This window comes from Homo sapiens, chromosome 2 (genome assembly GCF_000001405.40).
Source record: "Homo sapiens chromosome 2, GRCh38.p14 Primary Assembly".
In the NCBI taxonomy this organism is placed as follows: Eukaryota; Metazoa; Chordata; class Mammalia; order Primates; family Hominidae; genus Homo; species Homo sapiens.
Window position 1 is genome coordinate 218,859,805 of NC_000002.12, and position 25,289 is coordinate 218,885,093.

At 56.5% G+C, this 25,289-nt stretch overlaps 2 protein-coding genes across 4 annotated transcripts in view, besides 7 other annotated features; both read left to right on the plus strand.

Moving 5' to 3' along the window:
* Positions 1-14,429, plus strand: WNT6 (Wnt family member 6). Its single transcript, NM_006522.4, has 4 exons — positions 1-313; positions 11,223-11,443; positions 11,681-12,015; positions 13,580-14,429. Exons 1-4 carry the CDS (start codon positions 234-236, stop codon positions 14,039-14,041), a joined length of 1,098 nt encoding a protein of 365 aa, NP_006513.1. The 5' UTR covers positions 1-233; the 3' UTR covers positions 14,042-14,429.
* Positions 11,703-11,772: a silencer, noted in NCBI's record as "silent region_12327". NCBI's record gives its function as "represses an Ori minimal core promoter by ATAC-STARR-seq in GM12878 lymphoblastoid cells {active_cell/tissue: GM12878}" and the evidence as "EXISTENCE:reporter gene assay evidence [ECO:0000049][PMID:35858748]".
* Positions 11,851-12,797: an enhancer, noted in NCBI's record as "H3K27ac-H3K4me1 hESC enhancer chr2:219736377-219737323 (GRCh37/hg19 assembly coordinates)". NCBI's record gives its function as "activates a minimal SCP1, AML or CMV promoter by ChIP-STARR-seq in naive H9 embryonic stem cells {active_cell/tissue: H9 hESC(naive)}" and the evidence as "EXISTENCE:reporter gene assay evidence [ECO:0000049][PMID:30033119]".
* Positions 14,312-25,289, plus strand: part of WNT10A (Wnt family member 10A) — a 19,813-nt gene continuing 8,835 nt past the window's right edge. For 2 of the 3 annotated variants that reach the window (NM_025216.3, XM_011511930.2), the window contains exons 1-2: positions 21,048-21,304; positions 22,357-22,619. In NM_025216.3, coding sequence (NP_079492.2) covers positions 21,192-21,304; positions 22,357-22,619 — 376 coding nt within the window. In that variant the 5' untranslated portion in view covers positions 21,048-21,191. Of the gene's footprint in view, positions 14,399-14,821; positions 14,919-21,047; positions 21,305-22,356; positions 22,620-25,289 lie in introns of those variants that run through there. The other variant, XM_011511929.3, reaches the window with a different exon arrangement.
* Positions 20,474-20,533: a silencer, noted in NCBI's record as "silent region_12328". NCBI's record gives its function as "represses an Ori minimal core promoter by ATAC-STARR-seq in GM12878 lymphoblastoid cells {active_cell/tissue: GM12878}" and the evidence as "EXISTENCE:reporter gene assay evidence [ECO:0000049][PMID:35858748]".
* Positions 20,754-20,963: a silencer, noted in NCBI's record as "silent region_12329". NCBI's record gives its function as "represses an Ori minimal core promoter by ATAC-STARR-seq in GM12878 lymphoblastoid cells {active_cell/tissue: GM12878}" and the evidence as "EXISTENCE:reporter gene assay evidence [ECO:0000049][PMID:35858748]".
* Positions 20,984-21,123: a silencer, noted in NCBI's record as "silent region_12330". NCBI's record gives its function as "represses an Ori minimal core promoter by ATAC-STARR-seq in GM12878 lymphoblastoid cells {active_cell/tissue: GM12878}" and the evidence as "EXISTENCE:reporter gene assay evidence [ECO:0000049][PMID:35858748]".
* Positions 23,724-23,893: a silencer, noted in NCBI's record as "silent region_12331". NCBI's record gives its function as "represses an Ori minimal core promoter by ATAC-STARR-seq in GM12878 lymphoblastoid cells {active_cell/tissue: GM12878}" and the evidence as "EXISTENCE:reporter gene assay evidence [ECO:0000049][PMID:35858748]".
* Positions 23,914-24,183: a silencer, noted in NCBI's record as "silent region_12332". NCBI's record gives its function as "represses an Ori minimal core promoter by ATAC-STARR-seq in GM12878 lymphoblastoid cells {active_cell/tissue: GM12878}" and the evidence as "EXISTENCE:reporter gene assay evidence [ECO:0000049][PMID:35858748]".

Below are 25,289 nucleotides of genomic sequence, written 5' to 3' on the forward strand. Positions count from 1 at the left end.
CTTCTCCCGAGCGAGCTCCGCAGGAGACACAGGCGCTGGCTGCCCCGTCCGCTCTCCGCCTCCGCCGCGCCCTCCTCGCCCGGGATGGGCCCCCCCGCCGCCGCCGGATCCCTCGCCTCCCGGCCGCCGCCGTTGCGCTCGCCGCGCTCGCACTGAAGCCCGGGCCCTCGCGCGCCGCGGTTCGCCCCGCAGCCTCGCCCCCTGCCCACCCGGGCGGCCGTAGGGCGGTCACGATGCTGCCGCCCTTACCCTCCCGCCTCGGGCTGCTGCTGCTGCTGCTCCTGTGCCCGGCGCACGTCGGCGGACTGTGGTGGTGAGTCCGGCTGTCCTGGCGCGGCTCTGGACCCTGGAGGGTGGGGACCCCGGGACCCAGGACAGACTGGGGTGTTCCGCAGCCTCCCGGCTCTACCTGCTCTCCGAGCCCAGCTTTCTGGCCTCGGCCGGGGGCGTTTCTGAACTCCACTTCGACGTTCCTAACCCTCGGGAACATTCTATTGTGTTTCCTCCTCCCGGGTTCTCTCCCACCCCCCGCCAAGTTATGCGCTCACCCAGCTCACCAAGGAACAGGCGAGTGGGTAGGAAAGATCTTTCGGGAAGACACATATCCGAGGAAAAGAATGTGTGAGGAGGGCCCTGGATTCAGGGTATGGGGCTGGATTTGGAGAAGACAGGAACAAGGTGGGAAGCCACAAGGCAGAGAGGGCCACACAGCTGCCCCTTCCCCGCCCTGCTTTGCCTACCAACCCACCGGCTTCTCTCTGGGCTCCTGAGGAGTGGGCCTTAGTGACGACAGAGGGAATATAAAGGGGAAAGTGAGTCAGGACCCTGGTTTTCTCTACCTCGTCCTCCCCAAGCAAGGAAAAGGAGGAGCGGAAGGAACCGGACCCAGGCGCCCGGCCCTTCCAGACCTGGGGGTCATGAATGAAAAAATATGTGCAGCCCGGGAGATACGGGACCGGGAGGGGTCCTGCGGGAAGGGAGAGGGGCCTGGCCAGCCAAGGGAAGGGGGCGTCTTCCCAGGCTTGGCCCTAGCTAGAAGGGACACCTAGGCAGCGAAGGTTGCGGGAGCTTCGAGCCTTGGGGGTGGGGGTGGGGCCGGGGCGGGGAAGGAGGGTGCCCGACCGGGACGGCTCAGAGATCCAGATCCAAAGGACTTTTTTCCCCCTAGGTCTCCAGAGCCGCAAACCCTCGCCCGGAATAGCTCAGTGTTTAGAGAGGAGAGACTTGGACAATAACGCTGACGGGTTAGCCAATCCTAAGAAGGCAGGGTCGTGTCTATTTGCATATTGCCATGTGATTGGCTGGATGCCGACCCTCCGCTCCTCCCTCGCCCCCCAGATTTGGAAGAGAGGCAGATCCCCGTGCTCTGGAGAGATAGGGAGTAGGATGCCCACACAGGGAGTGGCGGGCAGCAATCCCTACTCCGTGATGCGGAGAGCCGTCCGACGCTAGTGTCACGGAAAGGGCGAACCGAGGACGACCCAGGTCCTATCTAGGGAACATATGCCCTTTGATCCGGCTTAGTATAATGCAGTGGCAGCTTTGAAGCAGATAGATCTAAGATCTAAACATTATGTTTGTGATCTTGGGCTAGTCACTTCCTTTCCCTACCTCTCAGTCTTAACTGGAAATAGGATAACAGTCTCCCTACCTGGCAGGCTTGCTGGGAAGGTTAGGTGGGAGGACGTGTAGAATAATAGGACCTTAGGAGGTACTCAGTATGTACAGCGCCCCCCTCACAACCCAGCTTCTCCTGGCCAGGGTCCCCAGGAGTGAAAAAGGGGATTCATTTACATTTAAAATCCAGAGTTCCAAGGAAAATGTTGTAAAGGAATCTCTTTTCCCCATAAACGCCTAACTTTGCCCTTTTTCAAGGTGTGGGGATGGGGTCCCTCCCTGATGGCCATTGTCTTCCTTCCCCTCCCTCCCCCTCTGTCTAAATCATTCTTATCCTTACGGTTAAAATACCATTTCCTCCCTGAAGCTGCCCCCTTGTCCTCCTTCCATTGCCTTCTCTGCGCTCCCACTGTATCACATACATTGGGCAACTATGCTGGTTACTGCATTTGGCTGACAACAGTCCTTTAGGTCTCTCTTCCCTGCTCCTGGAAGGCAGATACCTTGTCTTTAGGAGCCCTGAGGCCTAGGAGTGTGTTGGTGCTGGAGATGGGCTTGCAGAGTGTCATTGGACTGGCTGATTCACCTTTCTGGGCTCTGTATCTGTGGGGCTTCCTTTGTTCAGGAAGGACTGCTGGGTGGCAGCCAAGCCAAAGGAGAGTGGCCTGGTCCCTGAGAGACTGACCCTGAAGCTGGGAAGAAGGGAGTGGGGGAGGAGGTGACACGGGCAGGTGTGGGAGAACACAGAGGCCTTCATGGCCACAGCTGCAGGGCGTGCCGGGTGAGGAGTGAGGGGTCCCAGTGATAACGTGTCTGACTGCCTTGCTCAGATGTGCCTCTGAGGGAATGAGCCTCTCCTCCCTGCCTTGGCCCCTTCACTCTCCTTTGTCTATTCATTTTGTTTTTCTTTCTTTATTTCTATTTTTATTTATTTATTTATTTAGAGCAGAGTCTCGTTCTGTCGCCCAGGCTGGAGTGCAGTGGTGCGATCTTGGCTCATGGCAACCTCTGTCTCCCCGGTTCAAGTGATTCTCCTGCTTCAGCTTCCCAAGTAGCTGGGACTACAGGCACCCACCACCATGCCTGGCTAGTTTTTGAATTTTTAGTAGAGGTTTCACCATGTTTAGTAGAGGTTTCACCAGGTTTCAACAAGGTTTCACCGTGTTGGTCAGGCTGGTCTCAAACTCCTGACCTCAAGTGATCTGCCCGCCTCGGCCTCCCAAAGTGCTGGGATTACAGGCCCAGCCATTACCATGGCATTACCATGCCCAGCCTATTTTACTTTTTATTTTTTATTTTTTTGAGACGGAGTCTCGTTGTGTCGCCCAGGCTGGAGTGCAGTGGTGCAATATTGGCTCACTACAACCTCCACCTCCCGGCTCAAATGATTCTCCTGCCTCAGCCTCCTGAGTAACTGGGATTAGAGTTGCCCACCACCATGCCCAGCTAAATTTTGTATGTTTAGTAGAGACGAGGTTTCACCATGTTGGTCAGGCTGGTCTCAAACTCCTGACCTCAAGCAATCTGCTCACCTTGGCCTCCCAAAGTGCTGGGCTTACAGGCATGAGCCATTGTGCCTGGTCACTTGTCTATTTCTGACACTTCATCTCTTTGGTCTGAGCCCAGATCCCCTTCCCCTGGATCTTTGACTCTGCTTACACTCCTGAGCTCTCCCCACCCTACCAGTGCCCTCCAAGATCAAGTTTGGGTTGATGAGCTGGACCAATAATTCCCACTGGCCTGAGGCTCTTCCAGTCCCCTAAATCCCCAGTCTCACTTCAGCTGGCAGCTTTCCCAGTAAGGGCTTCCAGGCTGTTCCCCGATGCCCAGGACCTGCTTTCCCTGGCCTTCTTCTCCCTACTTGTCAGAGAATCCTGGCCAGGTCAGAGCTCCAGTGCTGGCCAGGAAAGCAGCTGCAGCAGCCTCCTGCATCCCACTCTGACATTCTAGCAGCAGCCAGGCTAGAAGCAGAGAGGACCCCAGGACCTTTGAGTGACTCGACTGTCTTGGTCAGGAAAGAGGCTCATGCCCTTGGAATTGGCTCGGAGACCTGGCTCCAGGTTCCTGAGAAGTTTCTCTCCCACCTTCTTTTTCACTTCCCTTCCTTACTCCAATGTGATGCATGCTTTCTAAACTCTGTCTCCAGCTCAGGCACAGAGGCTCACTCCTGAAATCCCACCACTTTGGAAGGCTGAGGTGGGCGGATCACTTGAGGTCAGGAGTTCGAGACCAGTTTGGCCAACATGGTGAAACCCTGTCTCTACTAAAAATACAAAAATTAGCCAGGAGTGGTGGCAGGTGCCTGTAATCCCAGCTACTTGGGAGGCTGAGGCAGAAGAATCACTCGAACCTGGGAGGCTGAGGTTGCAGTGAACCGAGATCCATGCCACTGCACTCCAGCCTGGGTGACAGAGCAAGACTCTGTCTCAATCAATCAATCAATAAAAATAAACTCTTCCCCTAGCCTCTCTGTCTTTCTCTCATTTGTAATCATATCTTTGTGAATTACAGAATCCCAGATTCAAGGACATTGGCCAGGCTCTCTGGAAATCATCTTGTCCAGCCTCATTGCATCCAGGTCATCCAGCCTATCCTGTGGCCCTGACAGACCCTGTCTTGGGAGTGAGGCAGAGAGGGAGAGCTTCCCAGTCACCAGTTCCCCACTTCCGCTCTGCTCCTTGCTCCGGCCTTGCCCACCCCCAGGAAGTTCTTTACAACATCTGACCCATCATTATTTATACCTCCAATCGGTGGATGTAGTAAAGAGCTCACTCTCATAGAATGGTCAAATCAATCTCCTTCTTCTCTCTTCCTCTTTCCTCTGTTTTTTTCTTTTCTTTTCTTTTTTTCCTTTTTGAGACAGAGTCTCGCTCTGTCACCCAGGCTGGAGTGCAGTGGTGCAATCTCAGCTCACTGCAACCTCTGCCACCCGGGTTCAAGTGATTCTCCTACCTCAGCCTCCTGATTAGCCGGGATTACAGGTGCCTGGCACCATGCCAGCTAATTTTTTTTTTTTAGTATTTTTAGTAGAGATGGGGTTTCACCATGTTGGCCAGGCTGATCTCGAACTCCTGACTTAAAGTCATCTGCGTGCCTCAGCTTCCCAAAGTGCTGGGATAACAGGCGTGAGCCACCGCGCCCAGCCCTGTTTTATATTTTCTATGAAAGAAACTAACCCTCCCCTTGTTCCACTAGGGAAAACACCACCCAGTGTCACTCCCTTCCCCCATCCCATCTTGTCTTTCACCCACCCCCCTCCTGGAAAAGGAAACAAGAGCCAGAGGCCTAGGACAGCCTCATCTGGCCCCACAGGGAGGCAGGGAAACGACCCTGGCTTCTTTGTGGCACTCAGGTTTTCTAGCTGCCACCCCCAACCCAGGCTGGGCCTGACCACCCTTTCCCATCCTGTCTTTATCTGGGGCCCCTGACCCATCGTGGGCAGTCCTGTTGCTGGCCCCTGCTGAGCTCCAGGGTGGGGTGTGAAAGGGGGTGGGTTGGCCATCCATTCCCCCCTCCAGGCCTCCCGCCTTGGCAGCTTCCCCTGGAGGGATACAATGGGGCTGTGAGCAGAAAAGGGCAGGGGCAGAAGGAGGCTGGCCCAATCCAGGCCAGAGCATGCCCTGAGCCCACCAGAGTTCTGGCACTGAGACATTTCCTGGGGGGTGCAGCCCCCTCCTGCCCTGTTCTCATCAGAAGCCAGGAGTTGGTGGGGAGAGGTCAGCAGGAGGTTTGCTCATCAGGCCCAGCAAGCGGGGGTTCCAGAATGTGCACTATGATGGAGAAATGCCACTGTGGAGGGGATGAGGCGAGGGCAGTGTGGTCAGGCTGGCAGGAGGGTGGCCGCAGGACGCCTGTCCTTTGTGGGTCAGTGAAAGCACCCCCAGCCTGCACCCTCCTTCCTGCCTAGGCCAGGCACTCCCTCGGGTGCTTCTCCAGAACTGCCGGAGGAGGAGCTGAGGGAGAGAAAGGGCTCTGGGAGGCTTCTCCACCTTGGCCTCTTTGGCTGGTTCCTCCAGTTCCTGAGCCCTCTGTTTAATCTAGAAAGTAGATCTAGAAAGCACTTACAGATAATCAGGTCCAATATTTTCACTTACATGTGAGGGCAGCAAGGTCACAGACAGGCGGTGAGAAGATGACTTGCCCCTGGCCACCCGGAATGCAGGCAGCTCAGAGCCAGACTGAGAGTCCACCTCTGGCTCAGTGCCTCATTCTTGTGAGGAGGTGGGGGATCAGGAAAGGGGCACAGGATCTCCCACAGGCCTCTCCTGCTCCCCTGTCCCACCCTCAGATAGGTGCTCCCCACCCCAATATGGGCGAGCAGAGGGCCCAGGACAGTCTCCTGGGGGCACCTTTGCCTGCCGCAGCCCTGACCAATAGGAAGCCCTTTTGTACAGCGAAGTCTGTCAGGGAAGGGAATGCCTCCACCTCTCCCAAGAGTGATGAGGAGAGATGGTGAGGAAGGGCAGAGGGAACCAAGTTGGGTTAGGGGTGGTGAGGTGGGGAATGGGGTGGCTGGGGGGGCAGTGGGGAGGCAGGGGTTAATGGAGCTGGGCATCACTGGCTTTGATGTGGTGGTTTGGGTGGGGGTAGGGGCTGGGGGAGGGGAGCAGTAATTACCGAGTTAGACAGAGCAGGACAGGACAGGCGGGCGGGCACAGGCCCGGCCCAGCCGCCTCAGCAGCAGTCAGGCAACATTTTTCTGCCCCTTCTCCACCACCCACCTCCCCCACCCCTGTGCAACCCCCACCCACAGCCCCAGGGCTCAGGGCTCCCTCTGCTGGCTTGTGGGAGGTGGGGTCAGTGTGGGGACCTTGGGAGTAGGGGTGGGGAAATAGAGGGAGGCTGGCTTGGAGACCCTTCAGAGGGCGTTGGGTAGCCAGTGGGCTGTGATCCCTTTGGCCTCAGTGATCCACCCAGGAGTGCCTGCTGGGGAAGAGGAGGGTCCTAGAGGGTGCATTTGGTCCAGGAGCAGGGCTGGATGGAGGAGGAGGAGACACAGGGATCCAGGCTGAGAAGAAATAGCAGAGAGTTGGAGAAAAGGGTGTTCTCAGGAATCCACAATGCTGCCTGCACCCTACTGTTTGTCCTGAACTGGGCAGGCTCAAGAGATGAATAAGGGTGTGGTGGGAAGACAAACACCAGTTGTTGGAGGAAGCCCACTCTCTGGACAGGTTCTCTGCATCTGTAATCTGGGAGGGAGGTGGGTATTACTAGTTTCATTTGACAGTTGAAGAAACTGAGGCTCAGGAGGTTAAGTCTCATCATCCATCTAATGAAGACTAAGTGCCAGCTTCACATGCTAGGGACTCACTCAACATCATAGAACAAGCAAATGGCAGAGCCCAGATCCAAACTCAAGTCTGGTGGATCCCAAAAACCCTGAGCGTACTCCATGAATGTCCATGCATGAGCTTATTGTCTTCGATGAGTTTTCTACCTAGTTAGAAAGATAAGACAAGCAAACATGAAAAATTAATTATACCACTGGCAGGATAACAGACGCCCCCAAATGAGAGGCGCCCCGGGTGATGCATGGAGGAAGGTCTGTGGGGACTGGGGCCCAGGGAGGCTCCTTAGGGCAAGTGGGATCTGAGGTGAGTTTGGAGAGATGCTAAGATTTTGATGACTTAGGGTGGGTCTGAATCCAGAATTTTAGCGATGTTATCTGGAATAGATTCAGAGTTAATCAACCTTGCTAGGGGTACGGGGCTGTGTGGAGGATGGTGTGGGAGGCCACTGGAAGTCTTCTGATATCTCACGTGCCCATTTCCCTCCAGCACTGTTTATGTTTGAAATATTCATCTACTGTGTCTTGCAATAGGGATCCCTCCACCAGTGGCCAGAGTCAGTCGCCTCCTGTCTTGCTCATCTGCATAACGAGGGTGAAGTGGGTGGGGCTGAACTGGGTGATCTCTGACATTGTTCTTGGCCCTCTGACTCAAGAGATGGAAAGGTAGGTTAGGCCAGAAACCTAGGACATCCAGGGCTTAGGTCTACACATATTGCCAATAGGGACTGGCTGGCCCCTGATACCACCTCCCTAGGCAATTGATCCTACCAACCATGGTCCTTGGTAGAGAGACCTTGGCGCAGGCCAAGCCGGTTAGAATGACCATCCATTGCCTTGTCCCTTCTTGTCCGCATACTGATTTCTTTTAGGGCTAGCCTCATTTTTTTCTATGCCCAGGAATGGCTGTTTGATGAGGATCCCAGATCCTATATATTGTGTATTCCCTACTACCACTGTGCTTCAGGCCCCAAAACATGCAAATTCTCCCAAAGGAGCACATCTTCTCTGGGCTGATCCTAGGCCAATGCTGACCCAAAGGCCTGAAAAGCAGAGTTCACTCCCTAAGGAAGCATAAAGCGAGGAAGGTGAAAGGTGAGTGGGGATGGGGGAGTTATTACTTGATGTGTTGTCAAAAGCCAAAGTTATAGGGGGTACGTGAGTCTCTCATGCTAACTCCTCAGTTTTTCTGAAGCCCACAAAGGGGAATGACTTGATCAGAGTGGCTCAGCCCACACAGAGTTGACAGAAACCAGAGATCGGAAGCGAAGCTTGGTGTTTTGCCCAATGCCCCCTGCCACGCCCCTTCTGGAGTTTCATTTCCTATGTATTTAGGATGGGAGCAAGGACAGGAGGGCAGGGAACAAACTGGTCCCTTGGGATTCTAGCTGCTACTACTGCCCATCCCTCCCCCTGACCAGCTTGTAAACAAGTCTAGTTCCCAGGCAGCCAGCCAGCCTGGGGAGCCAGACCCAGACCAGGAACTGGCTCTGGGGCAGTCCCCCAGCCCCAGCCCTACCTCCTGAAAGTCCCTGGCCTCCATACTCCTCGTGATTCTCCCGTCTCTAGTCCCTGCGAAACAGAGAAGGTCAAGAGGTTTTTGTCTTTCTGTCTTGCTCATCTCCACTCCCTCCTGCCTTCTTAAGGGAGGAGGAGGGAGAGGAGAAGGATGGGGCAGAGTAACCTTGGGAAGATAAGGCCAGGCAACCCTGGGAAACTAGGGAGTTAGCAGAGGGCAGGGTTGAGGAGGAGGGACTGGGGAACTTAGAAGTAAGGGAAGTGGGGGTGGGGAAGATGAGCTTGCAGAGCCCCCGACTCACAGGTGGAGCCCCAGACATAAGGGGCTGGACGACTGCAGAGAGGACTCATTCCCTGCCTGATTCCCAGTGGGGGAAAAGAGCATGTTTGAGGAAATGAATTAGGAGTCATGAAATAAGATGTGGACAGGGGCCTGGGCTCAAGTGAGAACTTTCTCTTAGATGGCTTATTTACTCATTCAAAACCACATATTAGATGGTGTTCATTGTATAATATACTACAGGTATTACATGTGACACAGAATTCATACTATGCAATTTTTTGTAATGAAAATTGGGGTTGGGGGAGGATATAAACTAAGTACCTAAGTCTTCCAGGAGATGCAAAGGAAAATAAGGCAGTCTTAATGCTCAAGAAGCTCATAGTCTTATCTCCTGACCCTGCACAGCCATGTTGGAAGCTGCCTCCAATCCTTCTTATAATGAGGTGGGATATATGGGCAGAGGAGGGACAGATAGATTGATGGATCAATAGAGACCGATCAGCTCTCAAAAGTCACTGGGTCATTGGGGTGCCCTGACCCACCCTCCATTGCTTTACTTATCTAGGCTGGGAAAGGGTGGGGGCCAGTGCTGGGCTGGTCTTAAGCACGCAGGAAGGAAGATGTGGACTGTGGCCTCTCCATTGAGAGACATCTGATTCCTGAGCTACTTGGGTACGGATGACGGCAGCAACTTGATTTTGTGTGTGTGCGTGCGCATGCGTGCACGCATGAGAATGCACGTGCACACACACGTGTTTGTGTTGTAGACCATAAAGGACTGAGCTTACTACACATCTTCCTGTACCACCTCTTCAAGCATCTCCATCCTTAGTGTTGAGAGTTCTACCTTAAGACCTAAATTCCTCTTGCTTCTATTTAAGACCATCACATTTCATTGTTGTGGAGCCAGAACATTCCTGGGCAGCCTGTACTTGTGGAGCAAATGGGGACAGTGGGGCGGATATGCACTAAAGCAAAACTGAAAAGTAGGCCACCTTGACCTCTGGCACCACCTACCACCATTCTCTATGTTTTCTCTCTCCTGGGACCCCTACCCCCACCCTGTCCTCTGCTGAAGAGCTTTTGGGTGGTCTCTAATTACCCTCTGCTCCCAGATGCTCTACTCATTCATTTGAGATGGGAATCCCAGCTAAGTGTTCAAATAGGAGCATTCTGATGAGAGCAGTTCCCCCAGGTATGAATCCCTAAGGAATTAACCTTCAGGGGTCTGGTATACCAAAACCAAATGTCAGCTCTCTCCTTGGGCAGAACGAAGGCCAGGAGTTGAGGGATTTCTGGAAGTGCGTGAGACTTCCCGTGAAGTCTTCCCCTACCAAGCCAAATATTGCCTGCACCCAGCAGTGATGTCACCCTAATGCGCAGGGCTTGGTTCACTGCCATTCTGCTCAGAGAAGGCAACAGATCCTTGGCCATGTGTGGTGGCTCATGCCTGTAATCCCAGCACTTTGGGAAGCCGAGGCAGGCAGATCACCTGAAGTCAGGAGTTTGAGACCAGCTTGGCCAACATGGTGAAACTTGTCTCTACTAAAAGTACAAAAAAATTAGCCAGGCCTGGTGGTGCACACCTGTAGTCCTAGCTATTTGGGAGGCTGAGGCATGAGAATCGCTTGAACCTGGGCAGTGGAGGTTGCAGTGAGCTGGGAGCCCGCCACTGCACTCCAGCCTGGGTGACAGAGCAAGACTCCATCTCAATTAAAAAAAAAAAAAAAAAGAACGAAAACCACAGATCCTGGAGCAAGAGAAGGGTCAGTGTCACCTACTTTCCAACAATGCTTCAGAGACCTGGCCCCCAGCTCCTTCTTCCTGCTCTCCAGTTCAGGGACATAGAAGATATCAGGGTAGGAGGGCCCACCTTAGAGATGAAAGCCCAACACACCCATTTTATAGAAGGAGAAACCTGGGCTATGGAGAGGGTGTGACTTTTCTCAGCTAGGCTCCATTCCCTAGCCGTTCCAACATCTCGTGGCATTCTCTCTCCCTGGGATTGTTCTTGCCTTTCATCCGGGCTGTTCAGCTGACACATATCCAGCTTGTGGTCCACTAGGACCATATCATTCCTTGATACTGCTTACTTTTCTTTGGTGTCTCTTGACGACACATGAATTTCCTTGACGGCCTTCTTGATCTTTCTTCTGTTATTTCTTTTCCTTGTCACCCTTTTGGGCTAGAAGTTTGAGTTTTAACTTTGACTTACCTGATGCCAGCTGCCTTCACCTTGAGTAAAATTTCTATAAGAATTTATTTACAAAGATGTGTGCAGGAAGATAAGATTGAATCTTTGCTCTGTAGCAATTATCAGACTAGACTCTAGTTAGAGGGGACACAGACATGGACTAGCAGGAGAGCCAGACAGGACAATCTCAAGCTCAGTTTGGAGGTAGGGTGGGAGGGCATGTCACAGCTCCCGCTGCGGGCTGAGTGGGGCTGGTCCTCCTCCCTTCCACCCCAAGCCCTTTTTTGGGTTACACCCCTGACCTGCTATTCTCTGCTTTCCAGGGCTGTGGGCAGCCCCTTGGTTATGGACCCTACCAGCATCTGCAGGAAGGCACGGCGGCTGGCCGGGCGGCAGGCCGAGTTGTGCCAGGCTGAGCCGGAAGTGGTGGCAGAGCTAGCTCGGGGCGCCCGGCTCGGGGTGCGAGAGTGCCAGTTCCAGTTCCGCTTCCGCCGCTGGAATTGCTCCAGCCACAGCAAGGCCTTTGGACGCATCCTGCAACAGGGTCAGTGTGGGGAGGGGGCGGAAGTGGGGCTGCTTTCTCCCTGCTGTGGGACCCGAGGAGAGGAGAACTGGTTCGCTGAAGTTGCCTGAGCCCCACTTCCCCCTCACATGTGTCTGGGCACCCTGCAAGGACCCTGCCTCCCAGGCCCCTGGGGCAGCCCTCCCGCCGCAGGTTTCAGGTCCCAGGCCCCAGCTGACCGCCCCAGCCCGCGCTGATTGCACCTGTCTGCATTCACAGACATTCGGGAGACGGCCTTCGTGTTCGCCATCACTGCGGCCGGCGCCAGCCACGCCGTCACGCAGGCCTGTTCTATGGGCGAGCTGCTGCAGTGCGGCTGCCAGGCGCCCCGCGGGCGGGCCCCTCCCCGGCCCTCCGGCCTGCCCGGCACCCCCGGACCCCCTGGCCCCGCGGGCTCCCCGGAAGGCAGCGCCGCCTGGGAGTGGGGAGGCTGCGGCGACGACGTGGACTTCGGGGACGAGAAGTCGAGGCTCTTTATGGACGCGCGGCACAAGCGGGGACGCGGAGACATCCGCGCGTTGGTGCAACTGCACAACAACGAGGCGGGCAGGCTGGTGCGTACGGGCAGGATGGAGTGAGTGTGTGCGGAAATGTGAGTGTGCGCGCAGGAGTGTGCTTGAGGAAGTGTTGGCAGGAGTGAGGGTGTGTAGGTGGAGGGGGGCGTTAATGTGTGGGGGAGTGCGCACGGGCGGAAAGATGGGCTGCAAGCATGGATGGACATGTGGGAGGAGAGGTGTCCAGCCTCCAAGAAGGAGTCACGTGGGGGTCTGAGAAGGCCAGATGCTGGACGGTACAGCGGGCAGAATGGGGGAAGGGACACTCAGGGAATAGGACTGAGGGTCTTTAGTGACCCCAGGCAGAGAGGGCACAGCTTCAAGACAGGACAGGTGAAGCAAAGCTTGCAGTGGGTAGGAGGTCTGGATGCCTAGGCAGGGGCAGGAGAATAAAACAAAGGTGGGGATGAAAGACAGGATAGAAGCTAATGCAAGGTCTGGGGTTTTGGTACAGGGAAGCCAGGGGGAGTGAGAGAGGCCTAGAAAGAGTTAGAACAGGTCTGAGGGGCAATGGAAAAGAGCGAAGGACAAGGAACCAATCCTAGTGGAGGTTGGAGGGAGTCAGGTGGAGGCCAGGACAGCTGTGACCAATTCTGGGCATTTGCCAACTGGCTGCCCAGCAACACCAGCCCAGGTCTCACCTGCCCAGAGCCATGGCAGCCTCTCCTCTCCCCTCTGTAACGAGGAGAGCCCCAGGAGCTCTCATTCAGGGGCAAGAAGGTTGTCTGGGTGTGATGGTTCCAGGAGGGGGCAGGGCAGACTCAGGAGGTGGGAGTGGGACACATGGTCAGGTTAGCCCCTGGACTCTGAGCTTCCAGAAATGATTTTCTTGGGTCTTCTGAACCATCAGCGCTTGGTGGGTTTGGGAATCTTAGACCCTGCTTCAGACAGTGACTAGGGGAGAGGCCGCCTGGGTTCCACTCTCAGTACTGCATTCCCAGCGGGCCCTCCTGCACCCCATGCCTCCGTTCTAGCGTTCTCCAGGGACATCGCCATACATACCGTGTCCTCTAGGGTTCGGGCCTGAGGCATCGGGCAGGGGGAGGAGGGGGCCTGAAGAGGAATGTCCGGACAGGCCCACATACCTGCCGAGAGGGTTGGGGAGGGGTGACGGAGACAGATGCCCAGGAGGCTGGCTCTGCGTCTGTGCTCAGCCCGGCCTGGGGGCCGTGAGGGGTAGGAATGAGGGGGCCAGGTAGGCAGGAGAGCTAGACTTCGACAGCTGCCACCTCTCCCCTCCTCCAAAGAGAATCTCACCCCTGCTGTCCATTCTGCTTTCTCCCCCACCCCCTGCCTTTGGACCCTGGAATCTCTGCGCTGCATATTGTCCCCGTCTCCCCTCTTCGTCATCATCATATTCCTCCATCCTCACCATTCCTCCTGCTCCTCCCCTCCGAGTTGTCCTTTCCTTGATTTCCTCCCCCTGAACTTGCGGTCTCCTTTTGTCTGCATTTTCCTCTCTTCCTTTCACCTCCCATTCCCAATCTTATTTTCTGTCCATCCGCTGGGCCCTTCCCTGCACCCCCTACCTGTCCACATGCGTCCGCCCCTCTGCCTCCCGCAGGCCGTGCGGAGCCACACGCGCACCGAGTGCAAATGCCACGGGCTGTCGGGATCATGCGCGCTGCGCACCTGCTGGCAGAAGCTGCCTCCATTTCGCGAGGTGGGCGCGCGGCTGCTGGAGCGCTTCCACGGCGCCTCACGCGTCATGGGCACCAACGACGGCAAGGCCCTGCTGCCCGCCGTCCGCACGCTCAAGCCGCCGGGCCGAGCGGACCTCCTCTACGCCGCCGATTCGCCCGACTTCTGCGCCCCCAACCGACGCACCGGCTCCCCCGGCACGCGCGGTCGCGCCTGCAATAGCAGCGCCCCGGACCTCAGCGGCTGCGACCTGCTGTGCTGCGGCCGCGGGCACCGCCAGGAGAGCGTGCAGCTCGAAGAGAACTGCCTGTGCCGCTTCCACTGGTGCTGCGTAGTACAGTGCCACCGCTGCCGTGTGCGCAAGGAGCTCAGCCTCTGCCTGTGACCCGCCGCCCGGCCGCTAGACTGACTTCGCGCAGCGGTGGCTCGCACCTGTGGGACCTCAGGGCACCGGCACCGGGCGCCTCTCGCCGCTCGAGCCCAGCCTCTCCCTGCCAAAGCCCAACTCCCAGGGCTCTGGAAATGGTGAGGCGAGGGGCTTGAGAGGAACGCCCACCCACGAAGGCCCAGGGCGCCAGACGGCCCCGAAAAGGCGCTCGGGGAGCGTTTAAAGGACACTGTACAGGCCCTCCCTCCCCTTGGCCTCTAGGAGGAAACAGTTTTTTAGACTGGAAAAAAGCCAGTCTAAAGGCCTCTGGATACTGGGCTCCCCAGAACTGCTGGCCACAGGATGGTGGGTGAGGTTAGTATCAATAAAGATATTTAAACCACCAGGGCTGGACCCACAGTTTTGGGGGAGACTGATCTTCAGGCTGCCAGGCTCCAGAAGAAGGTGGTTTTGCTAGAACTAGCACCTCAGGGGCTATCACCTGGGTCCCTATCTCCCGACCAGGTTGGCCTCTCCTGGAAACTCGCTATCTCCCCTTGGCATTCTTCTTGTTCACTCCTGTCACACATCTAGGTCCTGGATCTGCAAGCTGGAGAAGAACTAGCAATTCCTCTTTAAAGGGACAGGGGCATCAGAAGCTTCTGATGCATACCTCTTGACACCCAACAATATTTCCTTCCTTCTGGTTCCTCTTGGGAAGCTACTGGTGAAAGTGAGGAGACAGAGGGCAGTTCTGGATTCTCCAGAGCTGAAGCTTGAGCTCTCATCTTCCTCCAGAGAGAAAGAGGGATGGCATAGCCCAACTTCCAGGACCCAGAGCCTCCAACTTTCCTCCAGTCCAAATACTGCAATGGGGAATGACTCCCCCATCAAGGTATGGAGGACAAAAAATGAGCTTTGGGGTCAGACACTCTGGGTTTGCAGTTGGTGCTGCTGCTTAGAACTTTACAACAGAGGCCAAATTAGCCTCATTTTCTTTATACAAAGGGATTTCGCTCTGTTTCAGTTATCCATTGCTACATAACAAACAACCCCAAAGTAATCACTTCTCAGGATTTTTGAGGTCATGATTGGTCAGAACTCAGCTTGGTAGGTCTGCTCTATATAGCAGAACCATTGGCTTGGGTTCACATGGCTGCATTCTGCTGGAGTCTCCACTGTGCTGTGCTGGACAGTCCAAGAAGCCCCCACTCACATGTCTAGGGCACAGAGCTTCTCTTGTGCTCTCATTCTCTCCATGTGGCTAACCTGGGCTTCCTCGCTGCATGTTAGCCTTAGGATAGTCAGACTTCTTACATAAGACTGACTTTCTTTTTTTTTTTTTTTTTTTTTTTTTTTTTTTTTTTTTTTTTTTTTTTGAGATGGAGTCTCGCTCTGTTGCCCAGGCTGGAGTGCAGTGACGTGATCTCAGCTCACTGCAAGTTCTGCCTCCTGGGTTCATGCCATTCTCCTGCCTCAGCCTCCCAAGTAGCTGGGACTACAGGCGCCCACCACCACACTTGGATACGTTTTTTTGTATTTTTAGTAGAGATGGGGTTTCACCGTGTTAGCCAAGACGGTCTTGATCTCCTGACCTCGTGATCCGCCTGCCTTGGCCTCCCAAAGTGCTGGGATTACAGGCGTGAGCCACCGCGCCCGGCCAAAACTGACTTTCAAAGGAAAGTGTACCAAACTTGAAGGCAGAAGCTGTAAGTATCTTCTCAAGTCCAGCTTTGGAAGTTACATAGCATCACTGTAACTGTGTATTGGTCAAAACAGTTCACAGAGCCAGGCAAAATTCAAAGGGAGGGAAAATTAATTCCACCTCTCAATGGGAGGAGTGGCAAATAATTTGCAGCCATCATAATCTGTCCCACACCCTCACAGGATTGTTGGGAGAATTTTTTTTTGAGATATGAAAGCCTTTAGCATAGCTTGTGACACATAATTTGTCAAACATATGTTTAGTAAATGATAGTTACTGTGAGAATGGGGACAGACATATGATGCTTTGCAGATATTGGGCAGGCCCTGATTGCAAATGAAGATACCTGACTTTTAGCTGAGGCCAAACAGAAATAATGAATGGCTTTTATACCAGGGAAGTCCAGAGGTTAGTCTGAATTCAGGTACAGCTGAACCCAGGGGCTCACGTGGTGTCACAGGCTTCTTTCTCATCTCCTTCCCTCTCCCTCGCCTCTGCATCTATTGTTTCTGCTTATCTCTGCCTCTCTTGGCATACTGTCCTCATTATCTCCTCCTGCAGACTTTCTCCATGACAGCTCTATATGCAGTCTTAGATCCAAAAGCAGAAGAATGACTTTCCCAGTTGTCTCCAACAGAAGTCCCAAGGAAGACCTTGCTTAGTTCAGCTTGGTCATTTGCCTATTCCTGAACCAATAATGGTGTCTAGGGAGATGTACTACCATGCCTGGGATTGACAGCCTCTCTAGAACCACAGGGGGGTGGGGCAGGCACAGGGAGCAAAGCACAGTCCTTCAAATGAAACAGAAGGAAAGGGAGCTCGTTCTGGATGTGACAGACCCTCACCGTGGCTTCCAGGACCCCTGTCCTTCCCCCGCAATGCCCCTGCATTCACTCGGTGACCTAGCCTGCTTCAATCCTCAAGGCTCATGGTGGGGAGGGGTGTCAGGCTGCAGTGGGAAGGTTGAGGCACCAGGGTTTTCCTTTCTGCCTCCTCTTGGCTCCCTTGGGTCAAATGTCTGGGCCTCAGGGAAGTCATGGAGAATTTGGACTTAGAACTCCTTGACCAAAGGAAACTCTGTTAACTTACCAAAGGAGACAGTGGAAATACATTATGGTCCACATAGAGGAGAAATGAAGCTCCCTGAGGGCAAGGTTTATATTCACAGATCTGCCTTCCCCAAAGCTCTGCTCTTATCTTCAAACAAACAAAAAAACCAAACAAGCCCAAAACCCAAACTCCTGCACTTCTCTCAGAGACCACCAGAGGGCATGCGGAGCCCAGCTTCTCTATTAACAGGGAGCGACAGACAGGACCTGCAGGACATCTGGGAAACTCAGAGAGTGGTGGGCAGGAGAGGATAGGACTGAAAGGAAGCAAGGAGACCTACAGACAGCTTGGGTCAAGCTTCTAGGGTTCCAGACTGTCTGGGACGTCTGGGCTGGCCCAGACCTAGGGCTGGGATGCCAGCCTCCCAGACTCTACCACTGCTGGGTCCTGCAGGGGGTGAGATAGGGTGGAAGATGCTGGACATCTTCCTCCACAATGCCAGGGAGGGAAGCTGGGGAAGTGGCATGAACTGGCACCATTCTAGGCAGGTTAAAAGGAATTCAGAGGAAGTTGTATGGTACAATGAAAAATGCCTTGTTTGCTAGCTTGACCTTGGTCAAGTCAGTTAACCTATCTGAGCACTTCCTATCACCTAATAGGGGTCCCTGATTGCTTTTTAGCACATTGTGAGAATGCACTTCCATCTTTAAACTGCTGGCCACATGTTACTGGTCCATCTTCTGTTACCAAGCCCTGAAGGCGTCTGGGCACTGCCTTCTATGAAGGGTGGGAGTGATTACCAGAAGGCACCATTGGGACTTCTAGCCTTATCTTCTTTGAGCCCAGAGATAGATCTGTGCTGTTGCCCTGCTGCCTGGGAAGGGGCCGGAAGTAGAGTTCCCACCACCACCCACCCCTGCTCATCCAGCTGCTCAGCCTCAGGCAGTCTGAGCCATCAAAGTCCCCTGCTGGCTGAATGGCAGGGGACATGTGGAACTGGGGAGATGGGGGAAGTGCAAAGAGGCACCCCAGATGTGTGTGTGACCACATCAGGAACAGGCGGAACACAGGCAGATGGGTGAGGAGGCCGAGTGGAAGGCCTAGGATCAGCCTGAGGCCACGGGCTCGGGGAACAATTCCCTTCCCTTTCAATGACCAAACACATTGGGAGTTTGGGGAGACTGCAGCAGCAAGCCATTCCCCCTTACCTTGCTGAGGGTTGGTGGCCTCTGAGGCCTGGACAATGGAATGAAGAGCCTCCTTATTGGTCTGTGGCTCCTTGGCGTTCTTCTTCAGCAAGACAAACTTCTCCAGCTGGGCACCAGGACTGGGCTGGGGCTGGACTGGGCTAGGCTGGGGCTGTGAGGGTCCCACCTGTTCTCACCCCCATGCTTCCCCGGCCCTTCCTCCCTGTGACCTTCTCCAGAGCTGCCACAGCTGGAACCATTCTCCAAGCTGCCTTTCATCCCCAGTGCTCCCCCGCCCCCCAGTGGCCCCTGTAATTGTGGTCTTAGGCGGCGGCTGCGGGGGCTGGGGCTGGGCTGAGGGCCAGGGCCCAGGGCAGGGCCAGGGTGGGGACTAGGGGGTGCTGATAGGGGCTTGGCCATGGTGTGGGTCATTTGGGGCTGGGACCCCAGGGGCAGACAGTCTCTGGGCCTCACCTACATACATGCCAAGGCTCTGGACCAACACAGACTCTCCCCTCCCTTCACTGAGAAGTGCTCTGACTTGGGCACTCCTAGACCCTCCTGACACCAGGGCAGAGCCACGCCTGAGTGCAAGCCTCAGTATCACTATTTGCCTCCGGAGGCTTTTTTGTTTTTTTTTAAGAAAGGGTTTTCTCGGTCTCCTTTGCACCTCTGTATTTCACAGACAGTGGAGGTGGGGAAGAAAAGAGACCCCCTCATCAGAGAGATGCCAAAGGAAACTAAATCAGCTCCTCAACCAGGTCAGCAGCGTTTCCCAAAAGGAGTCCCCACCAGAATCACTGGGGATGCTAGCTAGAAAGACAGACACCCAGGCCTTTCCCTGGAAAGGCTGATTCAACTTCATGGGGCCTGGAATCCGCATTCCCACAATGGCCCACCCCAGGGGACACTTGTGCTGCATCAAGCGTGGGAAATGCTAGTGTGAGCGCGTGATGGGGAATAAGGACATCTGTAAGCTGATTATGAGTCCCTTCCCTGTGTCACGTTCCTAATTCTTTCTGGGCCTCAGTTTCCCCAACAGCCAATAAGAATATGACTCTCCAGCTTGCTGGTGTCCTCTCTCATCCTGGGCTGGTGCCTGTCTCCTGTCTTGAGTCTGGTCCCACCCTTACCCTTACCGCTTACCCTTCCCAAATGCTAGTCCCAAGCTGTCCCCGTTTCTGCAGCATGGTAGGGAGAGTGGGGAGGGCAGGGGGCAGTTGGGGTCAAATAAGGCTCTAGCTGACGCAGTCTGCTTGCTGCCCCTGGCTGTTTTCCTGCAGTCCAGCCAGACTGCTCCCCCCCCACTGCCCCACCCCCACCCCCAGCAGCCTCAAGCCCTTAATTCCTGACAGCTGCGGTGGCTGCCGGCAGAGATGAGGGGGAAAGGAGGGGGGAGTATGCCGTCAGCCTGCTGTTGCTCAGGCCGCCCCCACCACCTGACAGTCTGGGGACAAGGAGGGCCCCACCCCCTCCTTCAGTTCCCCAGGGATGGGCAATTCCAGGAATGGGCCTTTTTTGTCTCTGAGCCCAGAGGCTCCCATAGTTTTGTTCCTAAGCCAGCAGGGGCTCTCTTCAGAGAGAGGGGCATGTTTGTGTAAAGGCTTGTGCCCATTTTACAGAGGAGGATGCCGAGGGCACAGGGCAGGAGCACGATCCACTATCAGGGCCCAGGCTAGCACCAGAAACAGACGGCAGAGCTGCCTTTCCCCTGCCCTCTGGCTCTCAGGCCCTTGCTTGGGCCCAGCACACTTGCACTATATCGAGGAGGGGCCCAGTGTTCAGTTGGGGTGGAGGGACAGGAAGATCTCAGCGAGAAGTAGACCTGAGCCAGGAGGCTGGTATTAGGGACCTCCTAGAGGACCATGTGCAGGTGGGGCCAGGGAGGGCCAGGACAAGACTGAGAGTATCTGCGGGCACAGGCAGGCAACACTCAGTGTTGGGGAGGCAGCTGCTGCGCTGGGAGTCAGGAGAGCTGCGTTCGGTTCTCGCTCTTCCGCTAATTTGCTGTGTGACCTCTTTGAGCCTCGATATTTTCTTGTGAAATAAAGGGGAGCTAAATAAACTATCTCAACGGCCACTTCTAGGGTTAAAAGTCTCTCTAACGCCTCCTCCCAGGACGTGCCACCCCGGGCGCTCCTACGCAAGCATTTTCTGGGGGCCTGACACTGCTGCCTCCCCGGGCTCACTGAGGAGACAAGGTGGTCCCCATGAGCCGCATTCCGCAAAGGGGCAGAGGAGGTCTCCGTGAGCAGGAGCAGGAGGCACCTGTTTAAGGTCACACAGCAAAGGGGAGAAGAAACCAGAGGCTGCCAAACTCCTCTGCAGGAGCCCACACCTGCCTCACACCAGGCAGGCCTGGGGGAAGTCCCTCCTCTGGCGGAGGAGGCGAAACACAGAGGCCAGCCCCTCCCCTCCAGCCCCTGCAGGTGTGTGTGTTGGGGTGGGATGGGGGCGCTCCCCAGCAGCTGCGTCTCTGCCAGGCACACACACCTCGCGGTAACACATATCCCCCACACAACCCAGCGCGCTCCACACACAGGCATCTTCCTGTGCACGCGCGCACAGACCCCAACACCTTTCCCTCTGTTGCCCTCAGCAGGGACGCTCCCACCCCCAGTCCCCAGCGGACGCAGTGGCCTCGGGACTCGTACACGCCTCCACGCCCCGCCGCGTGACGTCACGTGGGGTAGAGCCCTGAGACACTAAATGGCGGGGGGGTGGGGGGAGGAAAGGGAAGGCGGCAGAGCTCCCCGAGCCGGGACAGTCACTTACTCTACAGGCAGTGGGGCCCGACACAGACAGCGCCGCCCCCGCCAGCCAGCCTCGCACGCCCTCGGAAGCGCAGGCTCCCGGCGCTGCGCTGGAGGGTTCCCCGGCACCCCAGCCTCCCGTCCCCAGCCCGCTGCACCTCCGGGCCCCCCTTACCCTTGAGAGGCACCGGGAGTTGTCGCGGGGGGGCCTCGGGAAATTCCCCGGACCCCTGTGCCAGGAGGTGCCCGGTTCGCCCGCTCTTCACCCCCCGCCCCCCCCGAGGGCGGTGCCCGGGGGTGCTGCCCCATGGAGCGGGGAGGCGGGCGCCGTCTGCTCCGGGAGCCCTGACCCGAGTCGGAGCTGTGTGTCGCAGCCGCCCCGACCCCCCGCCGATCATGCGCCGGCGCCCCTGGCTCTCCAGTCCCACTGGGCTGTGAGCCCCCCACTCCCAGCCCGTCAGGGCCTGCGCGCCATGGGCAGCGCCCACCCTCGCCCCTGGCTGCGGCTCCGACCCCAGCCCCAGCCGCGGCCAGCGCTCTGGGTGCTCCTGTTCTTCCTACTGCTGCTGGCTGCTGCCATGCCCAGGTGAGCCCTCACCTCATGCTCCGCCCTCCTAGAGAGTTGGGACCCCGGCCTGCAGGGGCCTCTGATGCTCTTGCTGGGGTAGAGGACCCTGGAAGAAGGGAGGGACAGGGTCATAGGAAAGTGCTGGTGCCCAACCAAAGGCAGTGAGCTCCCTCATAGGAGGGGGTTGGACTGGTGACAGGATATGGGCAGTCCAGGGAGACAAGGCAGTGCCCAGGAGCATGATGGCAACTAGGAGGGGAGGTGTGTGTGGGGGGGGAGCAAGTGCCAGTCTGGAGTTCCTGCCCTGTTGGGGGAATGCACCCCCACCTCAGGAGTAAGCACAAGCTGCCTCACTCCTTCCTGCAGCTCAGCCCCAGGTAGGGGCAGGGGTTGGGAGGCTGGAAGGGGGTAGCCCAGGTGGGGTCAGTGAGAGACTGCAGCTGCAAGAGCTGTGTGTGTGTGTGTGTGTGTGTGTGTGTTTTCAATCGAGCCCAGGATCCCAGCAAACTGTGTTGGTAAACAGTAGTTTGTATGTGTGCCCATGTGTGCATGTGAGAGCTCATGGGTCAATGTATGTTAAGATGAACACATGTGTAAATGGGAGTGTCTTTGTGTGTGTGTCTGTAACTATGTCTGATGAAGTGTGCATGTGCGTAAGTGTGCTGGGGTTGGGTTTGTGTGTCCACCACAATGTGTGCAGAAGTGTGTCTATGTGAATGTGACTGAAACATATCTGTGGGAGTGGGCTTGTGGGGAACCCTGTGTGTATGGGCATCTATTCCTGGGGATGTGCATAGGAAATACTGTGGCCACAAGCATGGTGGATGTGTGTGCATTTGCACGCTTACCTGTGTGGGTGTGCAGCTAGCTGAGTGAGTTGCACTGGGCAGGATGATTGTGAGGAGGTCAAGGAGAGAGGAATGTGTAGGAGTGTACTGATGGGCCCAACCTTCAGAAGCAGAGGTTGGAAGAGGGAGTGATTATGGCCGTTGGGACAGAGTGTGTGTTGTTAGATGGGGCTCTCCTGGTCCCCCCAAAACACGTACCCACTCCACCCCATATGTCTGCAGGTCAGCACCCAATGACATTCTGGACCTCCGCCTCCCCCCGGAGCCCGTGCTCAATGCCAACACAGTGTGCCTAACATTGCCAGGCCTGAGCCGGCGGCAGATGGAGGTGTGTGTGCGTCACCCTGATGTGGCTGCCTCAGCCATACAGGGCATCCAGATCGCCATCCACGAATGCCAACACCAATTCAGGGACCAGCGCTGGAACTGCTCAAGCCTGGAGACTCGCAACAAGATCCCCTATGAGAGTCCCATCTTCAGCAGAGGTAGCTGCCCCTCACCCCTGCCCCTGCCTGCCCCATCCAGCATCTCCACCTCAGAATCTATTCCCAGCCATTTCTAACCCACTGCCTCAAGCTGGCATCCTCCCATCCCCACACACCCATCTGTTGGCCCTGCTGCTCTCCTTCCTCTTTCTGATCTCAGGCCATGGGGGCAGAGAAATTGGGCAAATGTGTCTCCAGACTGGGCTGTGTAGGCTGAGGGTGGCAGGTTCCATGCCTTAGAACTGGACTCCTGGGTCATCCTGCCCTATCACTGACACTGCATATCTCAAACCCAGGAAATATCTGTACCTGTCGCTTGCCTCTACTTACCCTCTGCTTAGTAAACCACATTTAGGATGGGGAACCCATGAGGAAGAACCCAGAATCAGCATGAGGAGGGGTTGAGGACTTTGCCTAATCGTGCAGATGGAGGCAGCCTGGACAGGTAAAAAGTCTGCCCTTCTGCAGAAGCTCTTCCCGGCGGGGGACACCACCAGCCTGTGTGTCATCCCTGCTGCCTCTGGAAAACCCTCTCTGAATCAGAGGTGCTGGGTGTGTGTGTGCCTGTGTGCAGTGGCTCCTGCCAGCAGGCCTAGTAGTCCTGTCAACTCCTCTTCCCCTAACAGCTCAGAGAAGCTGCAGTCCATTCCCTGTCCTCCCTCTCCGACTTCTGGGTGACCCACCCTGACAATCCCAGAGTGGCTTGGGCTGGGGATGGCAGGAGGTTTTGTCACTCACTTCTGCTCACACCCACCTCCTGGCCTGGTATCTCAGGCCTTGACTTTTGGGAAGGATGGGGGCCCTGCCTCTGGGATGGGCCTAGCTGGGTATCTATCTCTCTTCTCAGTGGATTGTGTGGGACATTGTGGGCACCCCGTAGCCCTAGCTCCTTAGGTCTTGTCCAATTTTCAGTGGAGGTGGAGTGGGAGAGGTACACATACACCTTGTAGCCTTGGGTCTTGAGGCTTCTTGGGGAGTCAGGCTGTACCTCAAATTCGGAAAACTCAGAAAGCCGCGGCCCTTCCCTTTTCACCAGGACCCCTGCTTGCATCCCCTGGGCCCCCAAGTCAGGGGCCACCCCAGCCTCCACCAGCCCAGCCCCAGGCCTCCCGCCCCGCCCCGCCCCGCCCCCGCGCGCTCCCTCCTCCCTCCCCCGCGCGCCCCGGGCGCTGTTTCTACCCGGCCGAGCCCAGCCCGACGCGTGTGGCGGCATGCAGCCGCGAACTAATCCCCGCGGGCCGCGGCAGACGGCTCCCGGCCCCAGCCGCGCCGCTCTCAGAGGGCAACCCCCTCCCTGCCCCGCTCTCCCGCCCCCTCCCGCCCCACCGCCGCCCGGGCCCCTCCAGCCGTCCAGAAGCGGCTGCCCGGGACCCCCGGGTCCTGCCCAGCTCGGGCCACACGCTCCTCCCTGTCCCGCCGCCTGCGCGCCGACACGAACGGACGGGCCTCTGCACCATTCATGCCCCGGCTGGGCCGGGCCGGCGCTCACCGCCGCCGCGGGCCCGCTCCTACCCTCGGGTTTCTAGGTCGTCCGCGCTGCCCGCAGCCGCGTTTCCCTTCGGGGCCCTCGGGTACCCCATGAGGACTCCGTAGCCCTGGCTTTGGTTTCTGCCCGCCGGGGACTGGGATAGGCGCGGAGGTTCTCACTTCTGCCGCTTCGGGTGAGGCAAGGCAAGCTCTGCATCCCTCTCCTCGGCCTTGGTGTCCCCTCTGTCCTCCTGTTCCCTTTAGACCGAGTGAATCCAGGTGCCCTGAGTGGCTCGCTGGGTCAGGCCCGCGCGGCCTGCTGGAGGACCTTGGGGTCTTTGAAGCCTGGGGGAGAGTTCAGAGCGGCAGAACAGCGCAGGGCTGGCTGGGTGCCAGGCGCTCCCGGGTTCACCTGCAGTTTAATAAGCTCGAGGTGAGCTGGGGGGACGGGTGGAGGGGGGAGGTTAGGGCTGGAGGGGGACGACTTGCCGGGGCTAGCCAGGGCAGGGAGGCACTCAGCATGGGGAGGGAGTGGGACAGTGGCTGGGCACTTTCCCTTGGCCTCAGGACACTGGCCTACCTCTGTGGCTTCCGCTCCCCAGCTCCCTATCAACGCCCCTCATTGCCACACCTCACACCTCATTTCTACCTCTACTTCTACCTTCTACCTTCTACTTCTCAGAAGGGACTCTGTGCTTCTGGAAATAAATCTGCCAATCCTCTCCTCCACTGGCCACCACTGCACCCCTGACTCCACCTGCAGGTTCATCCTCCTGGGGGGCAGTCATTTCCCAGTCCATCTTGGCCCATCTTCTGGAGGACTAGCTAAATTGGAATCCCATGAAGCCACTCACGGTGTCAACCAGCCCCTGGTCTACTTCCTTCCACCAGGAATCTCCTTTCTTTCCAAGTTATGGATGTCCATTGTGTGGGGTCAGGTGACCTCCGTTTCCTCCAAGTGGAATATCTGGGTGCTGACCCCTTTTCTGACCCATGTTATCAATGGGTTAGGATCCTCTTAAGTGTGGATTCTGCCATGTTTAAACTTCAGACACTGATTGGGTTGGGGTCCCAGGTCCCTTGGGCCTTCTTTAATGCTGTTACTATCACCTAATTGTCCTGACACCTTCTCTGTAATGAGCTGGGCTGGAGGGATGGGGTTTTGATAAAGGGAGGGAGAAGAGGGCTTGAGCATCTGAAGTG

Bases quoted from the DNA above. Each gene is read 5' to 3' on its own strand.
- WNT6 (NM_006522.4), top strand. From the start codon at position 234: ATGCTGCCGCCCTTACCCTCCCGCCTCGGGCTGCTGCTGCTGCTGCTC. The intron at 314-11,222 runs GTGAGTCCGGCT...TCTGCTTTCCAG, and splicing joins CACGTCGGCGGACTGTGGTG to GGCTGTGGGCAGCCCCTTGG. The intron at 12,016-13,579 runs GTGCGTACGGGC...TGCCTCCCGCAG, and splicing joins ACAACGAGGCGGGCAGGCTG to GCCGTGCGGAGCCACACGCG.